Raw genomic sequence first — 19,518 nt, forward strand, 5'->3', positions numbered from 1 at the left:
ATGTTTGTTTTGTTTTTTGGAAAGCATCTGGAAATGTAAATGTGGAAGAGTGTTTGAAAGACACTCTGGGAAGAAGATGCCTGCTCCTGCAGATACTCAATTTAAAGCTGCAATAATTTTAGTTGAATAGTGTATTGGGGCCAGAATAAAATGAAATGGAATAGACCTCAAATAGAATCAAGCATATAAGAATTTAGTTAATGATTAATGTGTGTTTCAAATTAGTTGGCAAAACATGGAGCATTCAATAGAACATTCCAATAATTGTTAAACCATTTGTTTAAAAGTATTTTTAATCCTCTCTTATACCTTTTATCAGAATTCTACATAGCTTAGAAACTTGGTATTTCAAAAATGAAACCATAAATGTAGTAGAGGAAAATGTTGGCAAGTATTCTGTATAAACTTGATATGGGCTAGGCTTTCTAAACATGACAGAAATAACAAGTACTGAAAAGGAAAATATTTTTATTATATATCTGAATTTACAAAAAATAAAACACCATAAAAAATTAGAAATGACAACTGGTAAAAACATTTATAATATATATACCATATATAGGATCAGAATCTTAAAATTAAAAGGTAAACTTTACTAATTTTTTTTTTTTTCTTTTTTTCTTTTTTTTATTTTTATTTTTTTGTTATACTTTAAGTTTTAGGGTACATGTGCACATTGTGCAGGTTAGTTACATATGTATACATGTGCCATGCTGGTGTGCTGCACCCACTAACTCGTCATCTAGCATTAGGTGTATCTCCCGATGCTATCCCTCCTCTCTCCCCGCACCCCACAACAGTCCCCAGAGTGTGATATTCCCCTTCCTGTGTCCATGTGATCTCATTGTTCAATTCCCACCTATGAGTGAGAATATGCGGTGTTTGGTTTTTTGTTCTTGCGGTAGTTTACTGAGAATGATGATTTCCAATTTCATCCATGTCCCTACAAAGGACATGAACTCATCATTTTTTATGATTGCATGGTATTCCATGGTGTATATGTGCCACATTTTCTTAATCCAGTCTATCATTGTTGGACATTTGGGTTGGTTCCAAGTCTTTGCTATTGTGAATAATGCCGCAATAAACATACGTGTGCATGTGTCTTTATAGCAGCATGATTTATAGTCCTTTGGGTATATACCCAGTAATGGGATGGCTGGGTCAAATGGTATTTCCAGTTCTAGATCCCTGAGGAATCGCCACACTGACTTCCACAATGGTTGAACTAGTTTACAGTCCCACCAACAGTGTAAAAGTGTTCCTATTTCTCCACATCCTCTCCAGCACCTGTTGTTTCCTGACTTTTTAATGATCGCCATTCTAACTGGTGTGAGATGGTGTCTCATTGTGGTTTTGACTTGCATTTCTCTGATGGCCAGTGATGATGAGCATTGTTTCATGTGTTTTTTGGCTGCATAAATGTCTTCTTTTGGGAAGTGTCGGTTGATGTCTTTCGCCCACTTTTTGATGGGGTTGTTTGTTTTTTTCTTGTAAATTTGTTGGAGTTCATTGTAGATAGATTCTGGATATTAGCCCTTTGTCAGATGAGTAGGTTGCGAAAATGTTCTCCCATTTTGTAGGTTGCGTGTTCACTCTGATGGTAGTTTCTTTTGCTGTGCAGAAGCTCTTTAGTTTAATGAGATCCCATTTGTCAATTTTGGCTTTTGTTGCCATTGCTTTTGGTGTTTTAGACATGAAGTCCTTGCCCATGCCTATGTCCTGAATGGTAATGCCTAGGTTTTCTTCTAGGGTTTTTATGGTTTTAGGTCTAACGTTTAAGTCTTTAATCCATCTTGAATTGATTTTTGTATAAGGTGTAAGGAAGGGATCCAGTTTCAGCTTTCTACATATGGCTAGCCAGTTTTCCCAGCACCATTTATTAAATAGGGAATCCTTTCCCCATTGCTTGTTTTTCTCAGGTTTGTCAAAGATCAGATAGTTGTAGATATACGGCGTTATTTCTGAGGGCTCTGTTCTGTTCCATTGATCTATATCTCTGTTTTGGTACCAGTACCATGCTGTTTTGGTTACTGTAGCCTTGTAGTATAGTTTGAAGTCAGGTAGTGTGATGCCTCCAGCTTTGTTCTTTTGGCTTAGTATTGACTTGGCGATGCGGGCTCTTTTTTGGTTCCATATGAACTTTAAAGTAGTTTTTTCCAATTCTGTGAAGAAAGTCATTGGTAGCTTGATGGGGATGGCATTGAATCTATAAATTACCTTGGGCAGTATGGCCATTTTCATGATATTGATTCTTCCTACCCGTGAGCATGGAATGTTCTTCCATTTGTTGTAAACTTTACTAATTTTTAAGTGCTCTTTCTGTATTAAGACCACAAGCCTTATGTCCAATCAAAATTTCATGACATTTCTTTTGATGCTAGGGGTAATATTATAAAACTATTCTAAAACTCATCTAGAACAATACCACAAAAATAAGAAAAAGTACAGTACTCTAATGTAAAATATGTTATAGACAATGAGTGAAACAATATTCTGATTGCCACGGCACCTGGAGGTAAACTCTAGTAAATGTTAAAGAGCTTAATATAAGAGAGTGTGTCATAAATAGTGAATAAGAGAAACACATCATATGAGGAAAAGTTAGATGAAGTTTATGAGTTGATATTCTAAGCAGAAGGATATCCTGTAAAGATAATTATTACATTTTCGTTATCATTATAATGTAAAAATTGGGAAACAACCTAGAAGACTTACAACAGGTGAATCTTAAATAATGATATGTATATCCCTATAAAGGCTGTTAGATAGTCATTACAAACTACTTTCAAGATATTTCAGAAAATAATATACTTTAACAAAAGTTTAAAAGTGATATCAATTTAACATAGAAAACATAAATTTATAAATACATAGAATTGAAATGGAAATAAATGAATAGACAAAAATGTCCATAAATTTATCTGATTTTCACACAGGTGATTTCAACTGAGAAGGTGCAGAGGGCCAATACTCAACCTCCTACAGTAGGCTAAGTGCAAACTACAGATAATGTTGGGTCCTATGGTTAACTCATAAGAAGAGCAGCATTTTTTGGAGGGAATAATTTTGTTAAAGTCAGATTTTCCTAAAGTTTTCAGATTTTTTTTCTAGAGTTTCAGGTAATAATATTAGGACATCGTCATCAACTTAGACTGAAATAATTTTTCTGAAGTCTTCATACATAGGATAGTAAGGGTATCTTTTTCTTTTATTCCAGTAAAAATTGATAATTAAATATTTATAAAAAGAATCTGACATTTATTGGCCACCTACTATTTGCCAGGCACGTTATCTGTTTATTTGTAAAATTTTAAAATTTGTATGTATTCATGGGGTAGGTCAGTTGTCTTACATGCATATATTATGTAATGATGAAGTGTGGGCTTTTAGTGTACCCATCACCTGAATAGTGAACACTGTACCCAATATGTAATTTAGCAACCCTCACCTTCCTCCCACTCATCTTTTGTAATCTTTAGTGTCTGTTATCTCACTCTGTATGTCCGTATGTACCCATTGTTTAGCTCCCACTTATAAGTGAGAACATGCGGTATTTGACTTTCTCTTTCTGAATTGTTTCACTTAGGATCATGGCCTCTGGTTCCAACCATATTGCTGCAAAAGACATGATTTCTTTATTATGGCAGAGTAGTGTTTCATAGTATGTGTATATATATATATGTGTATATGTGTGTGTGTATATATATGTATATACATGTATACCACATTTTCTTTACGTAGCCCTCCATCTCCATTGATGGACAGTCAGGTTTTTTTTTCATATATTCGCTATTGTGGCAAGTAGTGTGATAAACATAGGAATGCAGGTATCTTTTTGAAATAATGATTTCTTTCCTTTTGCAGTGGGATTGCTGGATCATATGATAGTTCTATTTTTAGTTTTTTGAGGAACTTCCATACTGTTCTCCATAGTAGTTATACTAACTTACATTCCCCCCAACACTGTACAAAGGTTCCCTTTTCTTTATATATTTGTCAGCATTTGCTATTGCCTTTCTTTTGGATAAAAGTCGTTTTAACTGGAGTGAGATGATATCTCACTGTAGTTTTGATTTGCATTTCTCTGATGATCAGTGATGTTGAGCACCTTTTCGTATACCTGTTTGACGTTTGTATATCTTCTTTTGAGAAGTTGTCTATTCAGACCTTTTGCCCGTTTTTTATTGTATTATTAGATTTTTTTGCTAGTGAGTTGTTGGAGCACCTTATATATTCTGTTTATTAATTTCTTGTCAGATGAATAGTTTTCATATATTTTCTCCTATTATGTTGGTTGTCCCTTCACTTTGTTGATTGTTTGCTGTGCAGGTGCTTTTTAACTTGATGTGATTCTATTTGTTCATTTTTGCTTTGGTTTCCTTTGCTTGTGGGATATTACTCAAGAAATCTTTGCTTAGACCAATGTTCTGGATAATTTCCCCTGTGTTTTCTTTTAGTAGTTTCATAGTTTGAGGTCTTAAGTCTTTAATCCATTTTGATTTGATTCTTGTATATGGTGAGAGATATGGGTCTAGTTTCATTCTTTTGTCTATGGATATCCAGTTCTCCCAGTACCATTTATTGAAGAAACTGGCATTTCCTCAGTGTATGTTCCTTGCATCTTTGTCAAAAATGTGTTCACTCTAGATATATGGATTTATTTCTGGGTTCTCTATTCTGTTTTTATGCCAGTATGCTTTTCTTTTTCTTTTCCTTTTTTTTTTAATTCAGGATGGGTTTGGCTATCCTAGATCTTTTATGGTTCTATATAAATTTTAGGATTTTTTTTTCTATTTTTGAGAAGAATGTCATTGATATTTTGACAAGGATTGCATTGAATTTGTAGATTAATTTGGATATTCTGGATATTTTGACAATGTTGATTCTTCCAATCCATGAACATGGAATATCTTTCTATTTTTTGTTGTTCTCTTCAGTTCATTGCATCAGTGTTTTATAGTTTTCATTGTAGAGATCTTTCACTTCTTGGGTTAATTCCTAGGTATTTTATTTTATTTGTAGCTATTGTAAATGGGATAACTTTCTTGATTTTTTTCATGTTGTTCCCTGTTAGCATATAGAAATGCTATTGATTTTTGTATCCTGCAATTTTTCTGAGTTTTACTGAATTTACTATTTATCAGTTCAGATAGTTTTTTTGGTGGAGTCTTTAGGTTTTTCCAAATATAAGATCATATCATCTGCAAACAGAGTTAATTTGACTTCTTCCTTTCCAGTTTGGATGCCCTTTATTTCTTTTTGTTGTCTGATTGCTCTAGCCAGGAATTCCAGTACTGTGTTGAATAACAGTGGTGAAAGTGGGCATCCTTGTTGTGTTCTAGATCTTAGAGGAAAGGCTTTCAGTTTTTCCTCATTCCATAGGATACTAGCTGTGGATCTGTCATATATAGCTTTTATTGTATTTAGATATGTTCCTTCTATACCTGGTTTTTTGAGGATTTTGATCATCAGGAGATGTTAAATGTCATCAAATGCTTTTACAATATCAACGGAAGGCTTTTGTCCTTCAGTCTGATGGTATGATTTATCACATTGATTGATTTGCACATGTTGAACTATCTTTAGTTACCTGGGGTAAATACCAGTGAGTCATGACAAATGATCTTTTTAATGTGTTGTTTAATTCAGTTTGCTGGTACTTTGTTGAGGATTTTTGCACCAATGTTCATCAGGGATATTGGCCTATAGTTTTCTGTTTTCTTCATATGTCTTGTCTTTTTTTTTTTTTTTTTAATCAGGATAATACTGGTCTTGTAGAATGAGTTTGAAAGCATTTTCTCCTCTTCTATTTCTCAGAATAGTTTTAGTAGGATCAGTATTAGTTCTTTTTTAAATGTTTGGTGGAACTCAGCAGTGAAGTCATCAGGTCCTGAGCTTTTCTTTGCTGGGAGACGTTTTTTAAATTAAAAAAAAATTTTTTTTTTTTTTGAGATGTAATCTCGCTCTGTTGCCCAGGCTGGAGTGCAGTGACGCAATCTCTGCTCACTACAACCTCTGCCTCCCGGGTTCAAGCGATTCTCCTTTCTCAGCCTCCCAAGTAGCTGGGATTATAGGCATGTGCTACCACGTCTGGCTAATTTTTATATTTTTAGTAGAGACTGGGTTTCACCATGTTGGTCAGGCTAGTCTTGAACTCCTGACCTCGTGATCCGCCCACCTCAGCCTCCCAAAGTGTTGGGATTACAGGCGTGAGCCACCTCGCCCAGCCGGGACACTTTTTATTATGGCTTGGATCTCGTTATTGTTATTGGTCTGTTCAGGTTTTGGATTTCTTTATGGTTCAGTCTCCGTTGGTTGTATGTGTTTAGTCATTTGTTCATTTCTTCCAGATTTTCCAACTTATTGGCATAGAGTTGCTCATAGTGGCCTCTAATGATCCTTTGAGTTTCTGTTATCAGTTGTAGTATCTTCTTTTTTTCATTTCTGATTATATTTATTTGAGTCTTCCCTCTTTTTTTCATTAGTTAGTCTGGCTAAAAGTTTGTTGATTTTGTTTATCTTTTCAAAACACCAACTTTGTGTTTCATTAATCTTTTATATTTTTTTTGTTTCAGTTTCATTTATTTCTACTGTGATCTTTATGAATTTCTAATATGAATTTTGTGTTTGGTTTGCTCATGCTTATCTGATTCTTTCATATGCATTATTAGGTTGTTTATTTTGTTTTTCTACTTTTTTAATGTAGGCACTTACAGGTATAAACTTTCCTCTTAGTGCTCCTTTTGCTGTATCACATAGGTTTTGGATATGTTGTGTTTCCATTGTAATTTGTTTCAAGAGTTTTAAAAAATTTCCTTTTTAATCTCTTCTTAGACCCACTGGTCATTCAGGAACATATTTCTATTTGTTGGTATAGTTTCCAAAATTCCTCTTGTTATCAATTTGTGGTTTTATTCCATTATGGTCAGAGAAGATACATATATATTTAGGATTGTTGTATCTCTTGCTTAATTGATTCCTTTATTATTATGTAATTATCTTCTTGTCTTTTTTTTTAAACTGTTTTTGATTTGAAGATGTATGTATAGCTACTCCTGCTTGCTTTTGGTAGTGTGGAATACCTTTTCCCACTCTTTTGTTTTTAGCCTATGTGTGTCTTTTAGGGCTTGATACGTTTCTCATAGTCAGGATATAGTTGGATTATGTTGTTGTTGTTTTTTTAAAATCTTCTGCTAATATGTATCTTTTAAGTGAATATTTCAATTCATTTACATTACATTCACAGTTAATAATGATATGTGAAGCTTTGTTCCTGTCATTTTGTTAGTTGTTTTTAAGTTGTATAAATTATGTTTCTTTCTTTTTCTCTGTCTTTTTATCTTTATGTTTTGATGAAATTCTTTCATGTTGGTATTTGATTATTTTGTCCTCTTCCTTTGTGATTGTTCTATAAGAACTGTGAGTTTAATATTTTTATGCGTTTTTGTGATACTGTATATCCACCTTTAATTTCTATGTTGAAGACCCCTTTGAACATTTACTTTAGGAATGGCCTAGTGGTGACACATTCCCTCAGCATTTGCTTGTCCTGGAAATACTTTATTTCTCCTTCATTTATGAATCTTATCCTGTCAGGGTATAAAATTCGTGGCTGACAATTTTTTTGTTTTGTTTTGTTTTTTGGTTTTTTCCTTAGCACTTCGAAAATGACTTCCTATTCTCTTTTTTATTTGTTGTTGTTTTTTTTAATTTCCACTGAAAGGTCTGCTTTTATTCTGATAGGATTGTCTTTGTAGGTGACTAGATACTTTTCTCTTATTAATTTTAAAATTCTTTCCTTCGCATTGACTTCAGACATTCTGATAATATGCTGTGGTGAGGGCATTGCAAAAATGACTTTTTCTTTGCAGTGACTTCACCTATTTAATATTTGCATTTTTGAAAATAGTAGTGCTTGTAGTAAAACATACAAACAATGGAGAAGTATCAGAGTTCCTTCCTATTGTAGGTATAACCACTATCAACTGTATCTTCTAGACTTTTTAATGTATTTATAAACACACACACATACATACACAGTTTGTATGACTTTGGACTGTTCCAAAATCAAGATAGTACTGTATACATTGTTATTTTTCTCATCTATTTCTTTCAGCAATATATTATGAATATGTGGCCAAGTGAATACATATACATCCACTTCATTATTTTTAATGTGTACAGTTTTAATTTATATGTTCTTCTCTATACTTTGACCTGGTGAATGGAAAACAAAAAGTAGCATAATTAGTTGAGTAGGTCTCACAGTTATGCTTGCATAAAGCCAAAGAAGAAATTATTCAGAACATTTACCAGGAAGAGATATAACATTGTCTTCTAAAGATCACTCGGGTTAACCCTTAACTCATTTTATTTGAATTTGTAGTTGACAGTCTTCCTGTGTCCAACACATTCTCTAGAATTAGTACTATTCCTGGCCCCTATGCTCAAAATAATTCCCAAGTAATTCATTAGGGGATAAACTGACATCTTTTCAAGGGGTGGTTGTGATTCTTAACAAGGCAATGGGGAGACATTTAATCCAGGGTAACCGGGTTTCTAGGACTGATTTGGTCAGTTGACTTTTTAGGGTTTGGTTCATTCTTTCTACTCTTCCTGAAGAGGGTGGATGCCAAGGGATATGGTATTCCCATTTTATGTCTAGCACCTGTGCTAACTCTCTAATGACATGTGCCATGAAATGGGTTTCATTGTCTGAATCAATGTTTTCTATTAGTCTAAACCTGGGTATGATGTTTTCAATTAATGCCTTTATAACTGCATTACTAGCAGTTGCGCTTGAGAAGGAGATAGTCTCTACACAGTGAGTAAAGTGATTCACTATTATCAATAAATACTTCAGGCAACCGATGGGGGGCATTTTAGTGTAGTTAATTTTAACACTTTGGAATGGTCTTAGCCCTGGATCTCTTCCCCTGAGGAGTGATTTTCTTAGAGCTTGCTTATTAGTTTTTTTTATATATTAAGCAACTCTCTGTGACCTGTTTGGCTAGGGTGTAAATTCTGATACACCCATAAACTCTGAAAACCACATCGCACATAGCTTGGGGTCTCCAGTGGGCTCCTTGATGTACTTGAGACAAGACCTCCCTCATGAGAGGTTTGGATAACATCTCTCTTTGATCTGGTAATATCCATTTTCCTTCTGTGTTTTCTTTAGCTCCTATTTTTATTAATTTTTCTTTTTCAGTGGAAGAGAAAATGGGGACTGTGGTAGGGGAAGGAAGGCAAGGAGTTAAGTGAAAGACAGGTGTTTCAGAAGAAATGGCGGCTTGTTTGGCTATTTGATCTGCAAGGTTATTTCCTTGACTTGGGAAGGAAAAGTCATTTTGATGCCCTGGGACATGTACAATAGCTATCTCTTCTGGCAGCTGGAGATTGTTTAAGACATGGACAATTAGTTCTTTTTGGACCAAGTCTTGGCCTTTACTATTATGACCATTCTCCGTCCAGTTTTTTTTCAATGTATGAGCCACTCCAAAGGTGTACTTAGAATCAGTATAGATAGTTCCTTCTTGGTTCTGCAAATGTTTCAAAGCTTGGCTGAGTGCAAACAGTTTACAAGTTTGGGCAGACCAATTATTGGGCAATCTTTCTGACTCTACTTCTTCAAGAGTTTTTCCATCAGTTACTGAATACCCATTATGTCTTTTCTCTTCAATTACCCAGGAGGACCCATCTATAAATAAGTGTCACCCTGTCTTGAAGGGAGTTTCTCTTAAGTCTGGCCAGACCTTTGTATGGTAATCAATTAGATCTAAACATGTGTGCTCCCTTTTTAGGTTTAGATCCCCTGTTAAGAAACTAGCTAGTTTGAGTGAATTATCAGTAGTTAATGTTAAATCATCTTTTTTTTTAACAGAATGGTCTTATACTTTAAAATTCTTGAGTCAGTGATTCACCTCTCTATTTTTTGGTTTAAGATAGTTCTAACTTGGTGGGGCGTGCTTACTGTCTATTTTCCTCCGAAGTTTAACTTTTTACTTTCTTCAACCAACACTGCTCTAGCTGCAATGGACTGGATGCATTGAGGCCATCCACAGGTGACTGGGTCTAAAACTTTTGACAGGAAGGCCACGGGCTGCCGGTTGCCTCCATGCTTTTGGGTAAGCACTCCTAAAGCTACCCTGTCATTCACATTAACAAAAACGTGAAATGGCTTTTCTAGGGAAGATAGGGCTAGAACAGGGGCAGTTATGAACATCTGTTTCAGCTCTTCAATCTGATGAATTTTATCGAAGTCCACAAGAGACGGTCAGGCTTCCACTGGGTAAGTTTTTCATACAAAAATTTACTTTTTAGTGAGTATGAGTCAATCCATACACAGCAATATCCAATTAATCCTAAAAATTTTTTTGGTTCTTGCTTAGTTTGAGGCAGGGGTAAGGACACAATTCACTCAATCCATTCGGGCCTTATTCTTTGCTTGCCTGCACTTATTAGGTGGCTTAAATATTTAACTTCGGGCTCTGTATATTGAAGCTTTCCTTTTGAGACCCATAACCCCTCAAACTGTTGGTGGTTAAGAATATGTATAGAGAAGTCACCCACTTTTTTTATATCTTCACCAGATATGAGAATATCATCCACATACTGAAGCAGGCATATTTGCTTTGGGACAAGAACTTTTTCTGATACTCGTTCTAGAATTTGACCAAAGACGTTAGGGGAGTCTGTAAACCCTTGGGGTAAGACTGTCCATCAATATTGTTGTTTTTGCCCAGAATGGGGATCTTCTCACTCAAAGACAAATATGTCTCGGCTATCCTCAGCCAAGGGGCATGCGCAGAAAGCATCCTTCAAATCTATTACTGTGAACCACTGATGATCATAAGGAATTTGGCTGAGAATGGTGTAACGGTTGGGGACAACAGGTTGAGTGGTCTGGACTATCTGGTTAATAGCTCTGAAGTCTTGTACTAATCAGTATGACCCATCTGATTTCTTGACAGGCAGGATTGGGGTATTATAGGGAGACATACAGGGTTTAAGGAGTCCATCTTTAATGAGACTCTCAATTACAGGCTTTAACCCTATCCTGCCTTCGAAGGGAATGGGGTATTGCTTTCTCCTTACTATGTCCCCAGGAGTTTTTAGTTTGATGTCTATTGGGGGAACTTGAAGTTTTTCTCGATTCCCTTCTCTTGACCAGACATCAGGATGAATGTATTTTTCGTCCACAGTGGTGAGTAGATTTAATGAGGTGAGGAATCCCTTAGGGCCAGCTTGAAGGCCTATTCCTAATTTTAGCATTAAGTCTTTTTCTAATAGATTAGTTCCCACCTCAGGGATCAACAAAAATTGAATGTGAGTTAATAGATCTTGATGTTTGACTTTTGTATTTTCCAAGATTTTTGCCTTAAATCCTTCTCCTTCTCCTTTTACCCCAGTTCTTCTGAAGAGCCAGCAAGATTAGATGGAGTGAGACAAACAGAGGAGTGAGACACTCCTGAATCAATTAAAAAGGTGATAAGTTCACATTTAGGTCCCACCTCCAAATTTATCAAGAGCTCCTGGTGGGACTCAAATTAAAAGAGACAGAGACCCTGACTCCCCTATTCTTCCTTGAAAGTCATGAGTGGAAGGACTTCTTTTTCCCTTTTTAATTTGGGACATTGTCTCTTGAAGTGGCCTGTTCCACATTTGTAACATTTATCTTGTCCTTCCTCCCTTTCAATTCTGGGATTCTTTGACTTTGCTCCCCCACACTCTTTAGAGGGCCTAGGAAATGAAGGCCCAGATCCTCTAATTGGAGGCTTGGTTCCTTTGAACGGGGGTTTTTTGGATCCTTTATAGTTCTTGGCTCCCTGGAAGTCTTGTTGAGAAGCATATGGGTTTGGAGCCACCTGTTGAAAGGTGGATAGCATAAGTTTTGCTCTTTGTTTTTGCTTTTCTGCGTCTCTCCTTACATACACTTTTTGAGCTTTCCTGAGAAGTTTACTTAGCGGTCGGTCTTCCCAATTTTCCAATTTTTGTAACTTTTTTGAAATATCTAGTCAATTCTTAGTGACAAAATGGAGCTTAAACATACCCGGCCCAAGGGGATCTTCCAAATTTAGGCCTGCATACTGTTTCATTTGCTCCTTTAGCCTGTCTAAGAATTTTATAGGCCCCTCATCTTTTTTTGTTGTTGTATATCAAATGCTTTAGAGAGGTTTTGAGTTTGGGGTATTGATTCCTTAATTCCTTTTATTATCATTTCCCTTAGATCTTCCATGTTTTCCTGGTGAGCTGCATTATTATTGTCCCACCTGAGGTCTTAAGCGGGAAATTTTTGGTCCGCGGTAGGGACATTCTGACCAGGAGAGTATTCACGTTTCCAAATTGCCATAGCAGCCCTACGGTTATGCTTTTTTTCTCCTCCGAAAAGAGGATGCCTGGGATGGATATTAACTCGACCCAGGTATATAATTGAGGTCCTAAGAATTGATCAACTTAATCAGCCACCCCATAAGGGTCATCCAACAGGAGCTGAAGCTCTTTTTTCAAACTTTGCACCTCTGAACTGGTCAAGGGAATATTTACAAAGCCAATGGCTCCCCCTCCTTGTGGAACCTCTTTTAAGGGGAAGAGAGTCGGGGCTGACTCCTTAGGTGTGGAGGGAAATGGGAAATTTTGGATATCCTTTTTACATTGTTCTATCTCACGTTGAAGTCCTTTCAGGGAGGGGTACTTAATAGGCTGGGAGGGGACAGGCTCATGGGATGATAATTCCCAAAGTCAGGGTTATAAGGAGGAGGAATAACGTGAGCAGGGAAAGGATCTGGAATGAGACCTGAGGCGGCAGCAGCTGCCTGAGGGGGAGGGTCAGGGGCACTGAGCAGAGGAAGATGATCCAGAGGATCCCATGTGTTGGTGGGTGTGGGTTGTTTAGGAACAGGGACTCTTTCTCTTTTAGAGGAGTTGGTTTCTGGCTTGTTCCCTCTGGTTTTTAAAGGGTAAAGGAGGACAGGTTCTTGCCTCCAAAAAAGAGCATAGTCTGTTTCCTTTTGGGAGACAGGGCTTTTGTCATTAACATGTTCGATTAAGAGCTGACAAATCCACTCTTCATTGGAACCAAATTTTGGCCGGAAAACTGAGGGTTTGAGGATGGGCCTTCAGTCCAAATAAAACAACAATATTGTATCATTTGCTCTTTTCTTTTATGTTTAGTTCTTTCATTATCTTTCCAATATTTTAACATAAGTCCCAAGGGACTATCAGGAGGAATTTCATCACGCGCTTGGCTGTTTATTTTTCCTGTCTTACGTGAAACATTTCCCATCTTGGAGGTTTGGGATGGTGTCTAACTGAAATAGGCCTTTCCCTGGAGCTTCTCAACCTCTCCTACTAGAGATTTCTCGCCCTCCGTCCTTTCAGAAGCTCACTGAGGCTCTGAGGCTCAATCCCTCATATTAGAGATTTCTTGCCTATCGATTTCCATAGGCATTGTTAAGGCTCAGTCCCTCGTATTAGAGATTTCTTGCCTATCCTTTAGCCCCACCTGTTGGAGGCTCCTTGCATCCTTCTTTCGCTTTTTCCACTCTGGCTGCTTCCCTTGTGGGAAATGGCAGGATCTGCCACATGAGGTGACCACGGGACCGTGCAGATAGGACCCACTCAATCCACACAGCAGTAGTGTTAACATCATCTACATACACTTTTATCCTCCAAGATACCCTGACCACCTAGGAAATACTTTGTTGTTCTTGTACCGTTTTTCACCTTGGTCTGTGCACAGAGTTACTTGGTCGCCGCGGTGTTGTAAGCCTCTCCTTTCCCCATTGCTGAGAGCTTGGATTTGTTTGTCACAATGGGTGGGTCTCAGTCTCCCATCCCTGAGGCCACTGCAATGCGACAGTGGGACACGTCTCCCCCTGGGTGGGGTGACTGAAGACCTCTTCTTGAAGGAGAATGGGAATCCCCGACAAGCCCCCAGAATTGTTAGAAAGAAAGCTTGAAGTCGTAAAGAAAGACGAGTACTCAAACAAAGGATTTCTCAGCAAAGCAAATTTACTTTTGCGCAGTAGGGTGCTTCTTACAGGGCTGCTTGTCATGAGAGCACACTGAAGAAAGTAGAGTAGAAGCTTTTATTCCTAATGTGACTCCTGCCCTCGTGCCCTTTCCCCATTGGCTGGGGTCGGACTGCACAATCTAAACTAGACCCAATTGGCTAAACATTTAAACTTTCTTAGATAAGGTGGGCGCATGATGGGAGAGAGGGGAGAGGAGGAAGGGGTCATCTACAGAGGACTAGAGAGCCAGTCTTTTCCTAAATAAGGAAAGGAATGTGAGCTGGGGCTGTGGCATGCCTGGGCATGTAGTAAAATCAGAAAGAAGAAAAAAGGAGAAGAAAGGCAGGGGGTACCTGGAATTAGAGAATAAGTAGCTGAGCAGGCTATTTGAAGAGAAACCTTGCCATATCTCACATCTTTTATATCTTCTCATGCCTGTATGTATTATATGAACTGACATAAAGGGAGTCTTTTGGCCTTTCCTGAGGTCGTATAGTGTTATGTTGGATTTTGCATACCTGAAGTAGAGAATCTTGTTGAGTAATAATATGAATGCTTGTTTAACAATGTAAGCCCTTTAGTACTTACATGGTCATCTTAGGATGGATTTATATCCATTTGTTTTTACAAGATTAAAGTTTTCTTATTTTTTCCTGATTTTTAAGGGTAATAGATACTCATTGCAATAAGGCGGAAAATACCAAATTGTATAAAGGAGAAAATAAAAATCAACTATAATATCATTATCGATCATCATTACTATTTTTTCACATAGTTTTTAAAATTTTTATTTTTGTCTATATTTTTTGTTTTTTTAAAAGACGGTCTCTCTATGTTCTCCAGGCTGGCCTCGAACTCCTGGGTTTTAAATAATCTTCTCATCTCAGACTGCCAAGTAGCTGGGCCTGTTGGTGCATGCCACCATGCCCAAACTTCCAGCCTTTTTTTGTTTTAAAAAAGTAGAGTTTTGAACCAGGCACAGTGATTCTCACCTGTAATCCCAGCTACTTGGATAGCTGAGGCAGAAGGATCTCTTCAGGCCAGTAGTTCAAGACCAGCCTGAATAACATAGTGAGCCCTTGTCTCTAAAACAAACAAAAACGGAATTATAAATACCATCTTGTAAACTGCCTTTTAATTTTTATTTTATTTACTTATTTTGAGACTGAGTCTCACTCTATCGCCCAAGCTAGAGTGCAGTGGCATGATCTCGGCTCACTGCGGCCTTGACCTCCCAGATTCAAGCGACTCTCATGGCTTAGCCTCTCAAGTAGCCGGGATTACAGACGTGTGCCACCACGCCTGGATAACTTTTGTATTTTTAGTAGTGATGGGGTTTTGCCATGTTGTCCAGGCTGGTTTTGAACTCCTGACCTCACATGATCCACCTGCCTTGGCCTCACAAAGTGCTGGGATTACAGGCGTGAGCCACCACACCCAACTTAAACTGCCCTTTTTATATACTGCAGCTTATTTAACCATTTTCTGCTGTGGACATTTAACTCCTTTCCAGTTTTGAGGTATTATAAATAATGTCTACATATAGAATTTAAAATTTTCCTGAAATGTATTTTTAAATAGTCATAGAACATTAAATGTTAAAGAAATATGTTAATAAATTGAACAACAGTATTTAATAATTCAGACATTTAAAAAATAAGGAAATTTTTACAAATCAAGTAGAATTTTGTTTTTTTAAAAAATTGTCTTTGCAGTTTTACAATAAAAGATGTACAGTGTTTTTTCTGGTTTACTAAAAATGAAATCTTGTTTGTCATTTAGATGCCACCTGGGACAGCAAGACCAGGTTCTCGTGGTTGTCCCATAGGGACTGGTGGAGTTCTGTCTTCTCAAATCAAAGTTGCCCATCGCCCTGTAACACAACAAGGTTTGACTGGAATGAAAACTGGGACGAAAGGTACCTATTTTAAGATAAGTATGACACTTGGGCCTGTGTTTTGTAAGAAATAAATAACTGTGAACAATTTAAAAAAGTAAAAGTTGAGTATATTTTGAACAATAAGTATTACAGTACCATTTTTTTAAATCAGGATTATAGCATGTAAGAATTATTACATGTAATTATGGCATGTAATCAGAATTATGGCATCTAATCGTTATTCTTTGATTCACAAAATTATTGTGATGGTTAAACAACAGAGTGAATATGAAAATACAGTTTGAATTAGAAAGCTATATACAGATATGAGCTATTTCAGTCTTCATTTTTCTGACATGGAGCTGTAGTACAACTTGAAGAACTTTGAAATAGTCTTGGAGAAAAGTTCAAGATTGAAAATTAGATTTTTGGTACTATATAGAAATACTCTGAAATAGTTTAGATAGTTCCTATATTAAAATGACACTTAAAATACTTGTGTATTTATGAGAAGTGAGTCAAGAAATGTTACTTTTTTTCTGATAATTAGCATCTGTTCTAATACTTATGTAAGGAAATGAGGCTAATTTCCTCATTTATATTAATCTAATTTCCTAGATTTATATTAAATCTCTCATTATGCTTCTGCATATGTATTTAGAGAAGCATAAGAATATACTATATATTAGAGTTTAAAATTTAGATCTGTGGTATATATAAACCAAACTATGGTAAACTCCTTTTTCTTTTCTTTTTATCATAGGCAGTGGTCAGTAGCCTGTGGTGAGCTGTTTCAGAGTTTTTCGTTTTCTGTATTTTTGACAGATGATCTATCAGGAATGAAGATATACTGCTAGTACAAAATTAATTATATCATACATGCTACTTTCTATAATACAGTATATCATCCCTTTCAAGAGACTTAAATTTTTTTTTTTTGAGACTTAAATTTTTTCATCTACATTCTAATAACATCTAAATCACTAAATATTAAAAATGAATTGATTATTTAGAAATGTTTGCTTAATGATTATCAGTACCATGAAAAAATATTTCAAAATTACATAGTCATTTAACTAGCCTTTTGAAAGTGGATGCACAGAAATATTTATATGTTTAATAGTATTTTAAAACATCGAGGGTAAAAACATATTAAAATTCTATAGTAAATTTATCAAATGTTTATTTCTGTATTAATTTATCCTTCAAAACAGAACCAATATAATTTAAGATTGTTAGTCTCTACAAGTATACTTCAAAGCCTTTTAAGAGAGAATTCGGAACATTACCACTACACAGAACTGTCTACTGTGACTTTCATTCTTACCTTCTCTAGTGCCCCATTTCCCAGTATAATAAGATACTACCTCTACTTCTCAGCATAGACCTTATAGTTAATACACCTAGTTTTACCTCTCATACTTTGCAGGGCACTTCATCTCTTACAAGGTTTGAGACATTTAACCTAGGAACACTTTCTTTTTTTTTTTTTTTTTTTTTTTTTTTGAGATGGGGTCTTTCTCTGTCGCCCAGGCTGGAGTGCAGTGATGTGATCTTGGCTCACTGCAACCTCCGCATCCCAGATTCAAGCAATTCTCCTGCCTCAGCCTCCTGAGTAGCTGGGCTTACAGGCACATGCCACAATGCCCAGCTAATTTTTTTGTATTTTTAGTAGAGATGGGGTTTCACCATATTGGCCAGGCTGGTCTTGAACTTCTGACCTCAAGGGATCCTCCCACCTCAGCCTCCCAAAGTGCTGGGATTACAGGTGTGAGCCACCGTGCCCGGCCAGGAATACTTTCTTAGTTCTACTGAAATGTAAGACCATTTCTTAAAAAGTCTCTGAGACAAATGATAAAAAATCATAGTCACTTTCTCACATTGAGTAATGTCTGCAGTGTCCAGTATGACAGCCAGTAGTCAGAAATTTAAATTAGTTCCCCAGTAGCACCAGCCAAATTTTAAGTGCTTCTGTAGTCCCTCTGTCCACTTTATTGGACAGTGTTAATTTAGAATATTTCTGTCACTGCAGAAAGTTACTCTGGACAGCTCTGTTCCAGATTCCCTTAGACTCAATTTTCATTCCATCGTCCTGTTCTGTAGAGTCTACTGTCTTTTAACAGCCCCACCTCTAGTCCCATCTTCGTAGTTTTAATTGAAGCTTCCCTTATGTTGTGATTCTAAGGTATTAGTTCTCTTTTCAGTTTCAGTGATTCTTCTTGATTCATTGGGGCATTCATGAAGACTGTCTTGAGAATTGTGGAGTGTAATTCTGATTGTGCTTTGGATTTGCTATTCTGGTGGCATTTCGAACTGAACACTAACACTTAAAACATTTTTTTTTAGGTCCCCAGAGGCAAATTTTAGACAAATCTTACTATCTTGGGCTTCTTAGGTATGTTAAACATATCTTTTCATCCGTATGTTTTACTCGAAATATTGTGTACCTTCTGTCAAAATAGAGTATATAACTTTAATATGAAGTTTTAGCTAGGCACTTATTAGGATAATTAGGTATCTATTGATTTCTAAAAATTATTTTGTATTCTAACAATTTCTGGTTAATTTGGCTATGCTGTAAAATAAATGTGATAGTATAATTAGTCTGAGATTTATAGTTTTATGAATTTGCATGTACATGAGCTATATTTTCCCTCAGTTTGTTTGTGCTGCTATAATAAAATACCTGAGATTGGGTAACTTATAGGAATTTATTTCTTACTGTTCCGGAGACGCAGAAGTCCAAGATCAAGGTGCCAGCAGCTTCAGTGTCTGGTGGGCACCTGTTTCTCACAGATAGTGCCGTCAAGGTGTCCTCATGGCAGAAGAGTGGAAGGGCAAAAGGTGCTGAGCTAGTTTCCTTCAACCCTTTTCTAAGGCACTAATCCCATCCATGAGGGCAGAGTCGTCATGTCCTGATTACTTCTTAAAGTCCCTACCTCTTAATACTATTGCATTAGAGATTAAGTTTTGATATGAATTTCAGAGGGACTCAAACATTCAAACCATAGCAAACTTATTTTATTTTATTTATATTTTAGAGACAGAGTCTCACTCTGTTGCCCAGGCTGGAGTGCAGTGGCATGATCACAGCTCACTGCAACCTTGAACTCCTGGGTTGAAGTGATCCTCCTGCCTCAGCTTCCCAAAGTGCTGGGATTATAGGCATAAGCTACCACCACACCTGGCCTCATAGCATTTTTTTTTTGAGACAGAGTCTTGTTCTGTGGCTCAGGCTGGAGTGCAGTGGCATGATCTCGGTTGACTGCAACCTCTGTCTCCCAGGTTTAAGCAATTCTCCTGCATCAGCTTCCCAAGTAGCTGGGATTACAGGCGTTTGCCACCACACCCACCTAATTTTGTGTGTGTGTTTTTAGTAGAGGTGGCATTTCACCATGTCAGCCAGGCTTGTCTCGAACTCCTGACCTCAAATGATCTGCCCATCTCGGCCTTCCAAAGTGCTGGGATTACAGGCATGAGCCACCGCGCCCAACCCCTTGTAGCATTTTAAAAGTTCACTTTTTTCATCTAATGATAAGAATAATTTTTTTTTTTTTTTTTGAGATAGAGTCTCACTCTGTCGCCCAGGCTGGAGTGCAGTGGTGTGATCTCAGCTCACTG

General features: G+C 36.8%; 1 protein-coding gene across 5 annotated transcripts in view, besides 1 other annotated feature; it reads left to right on the forward strand.

Moving 5' to 3' along the window:
• Nucleotides 1-19,518, forward strand: part of IFT74 (intraflagellar transport 74) — a 119,025-nt gene that overhangs the window by 15,218 nt on the left and 84,289 nt on the right. For all 5 annotated transcript variants that reach the window (NM_001099223.3, NM_001099222.3, NM_001349928.2 and 2 more), the window contains exons 3-4: nucleotides 15,801-15,936; nucleotides 18,244-18,292. In NM_001099223.3, the coding sequence (NP_001092693.1) occupies nucleotides 15,801-15,936; nucleotides 18,244-18,292 (185 nt within the window). The remainder of the gene's footprint in view (nucleotides 1-15,800; nucleotides 15,937-18,243; nucleotides 18,293-19,518) is intronic.
• Nucleotides 13,301-13,871: an enhancer, noted in NCBI's record as "H3K27ac hESC enhancer chr9:26975626-26976196 (GRCh37/hg19 assembly coordinates)". NCBI's record gives its function as "activates a minimal SCP1, AML or CMV promoter by ChIP-STARR-seq in primed H9 embryonic stem cells {active_cell/tissue: H9 hESC(primed)}" and the evidence as "EXISTENCE:reporter gene assay evidence [ECO:0000049][PMID:30033119]".

This window comes from Homo sapiens, chromosome 9, assembly GCF_000001405.40.
Source record: "Homo sapiens chromosome 9, GRCh38.p14 Primary Assembly".
Taxonomy (NCBI): Eukaryota; Metazoa; Chordata; class Mammalia; order Primates; family Hominidae; genus Homo; species Homo sapiens.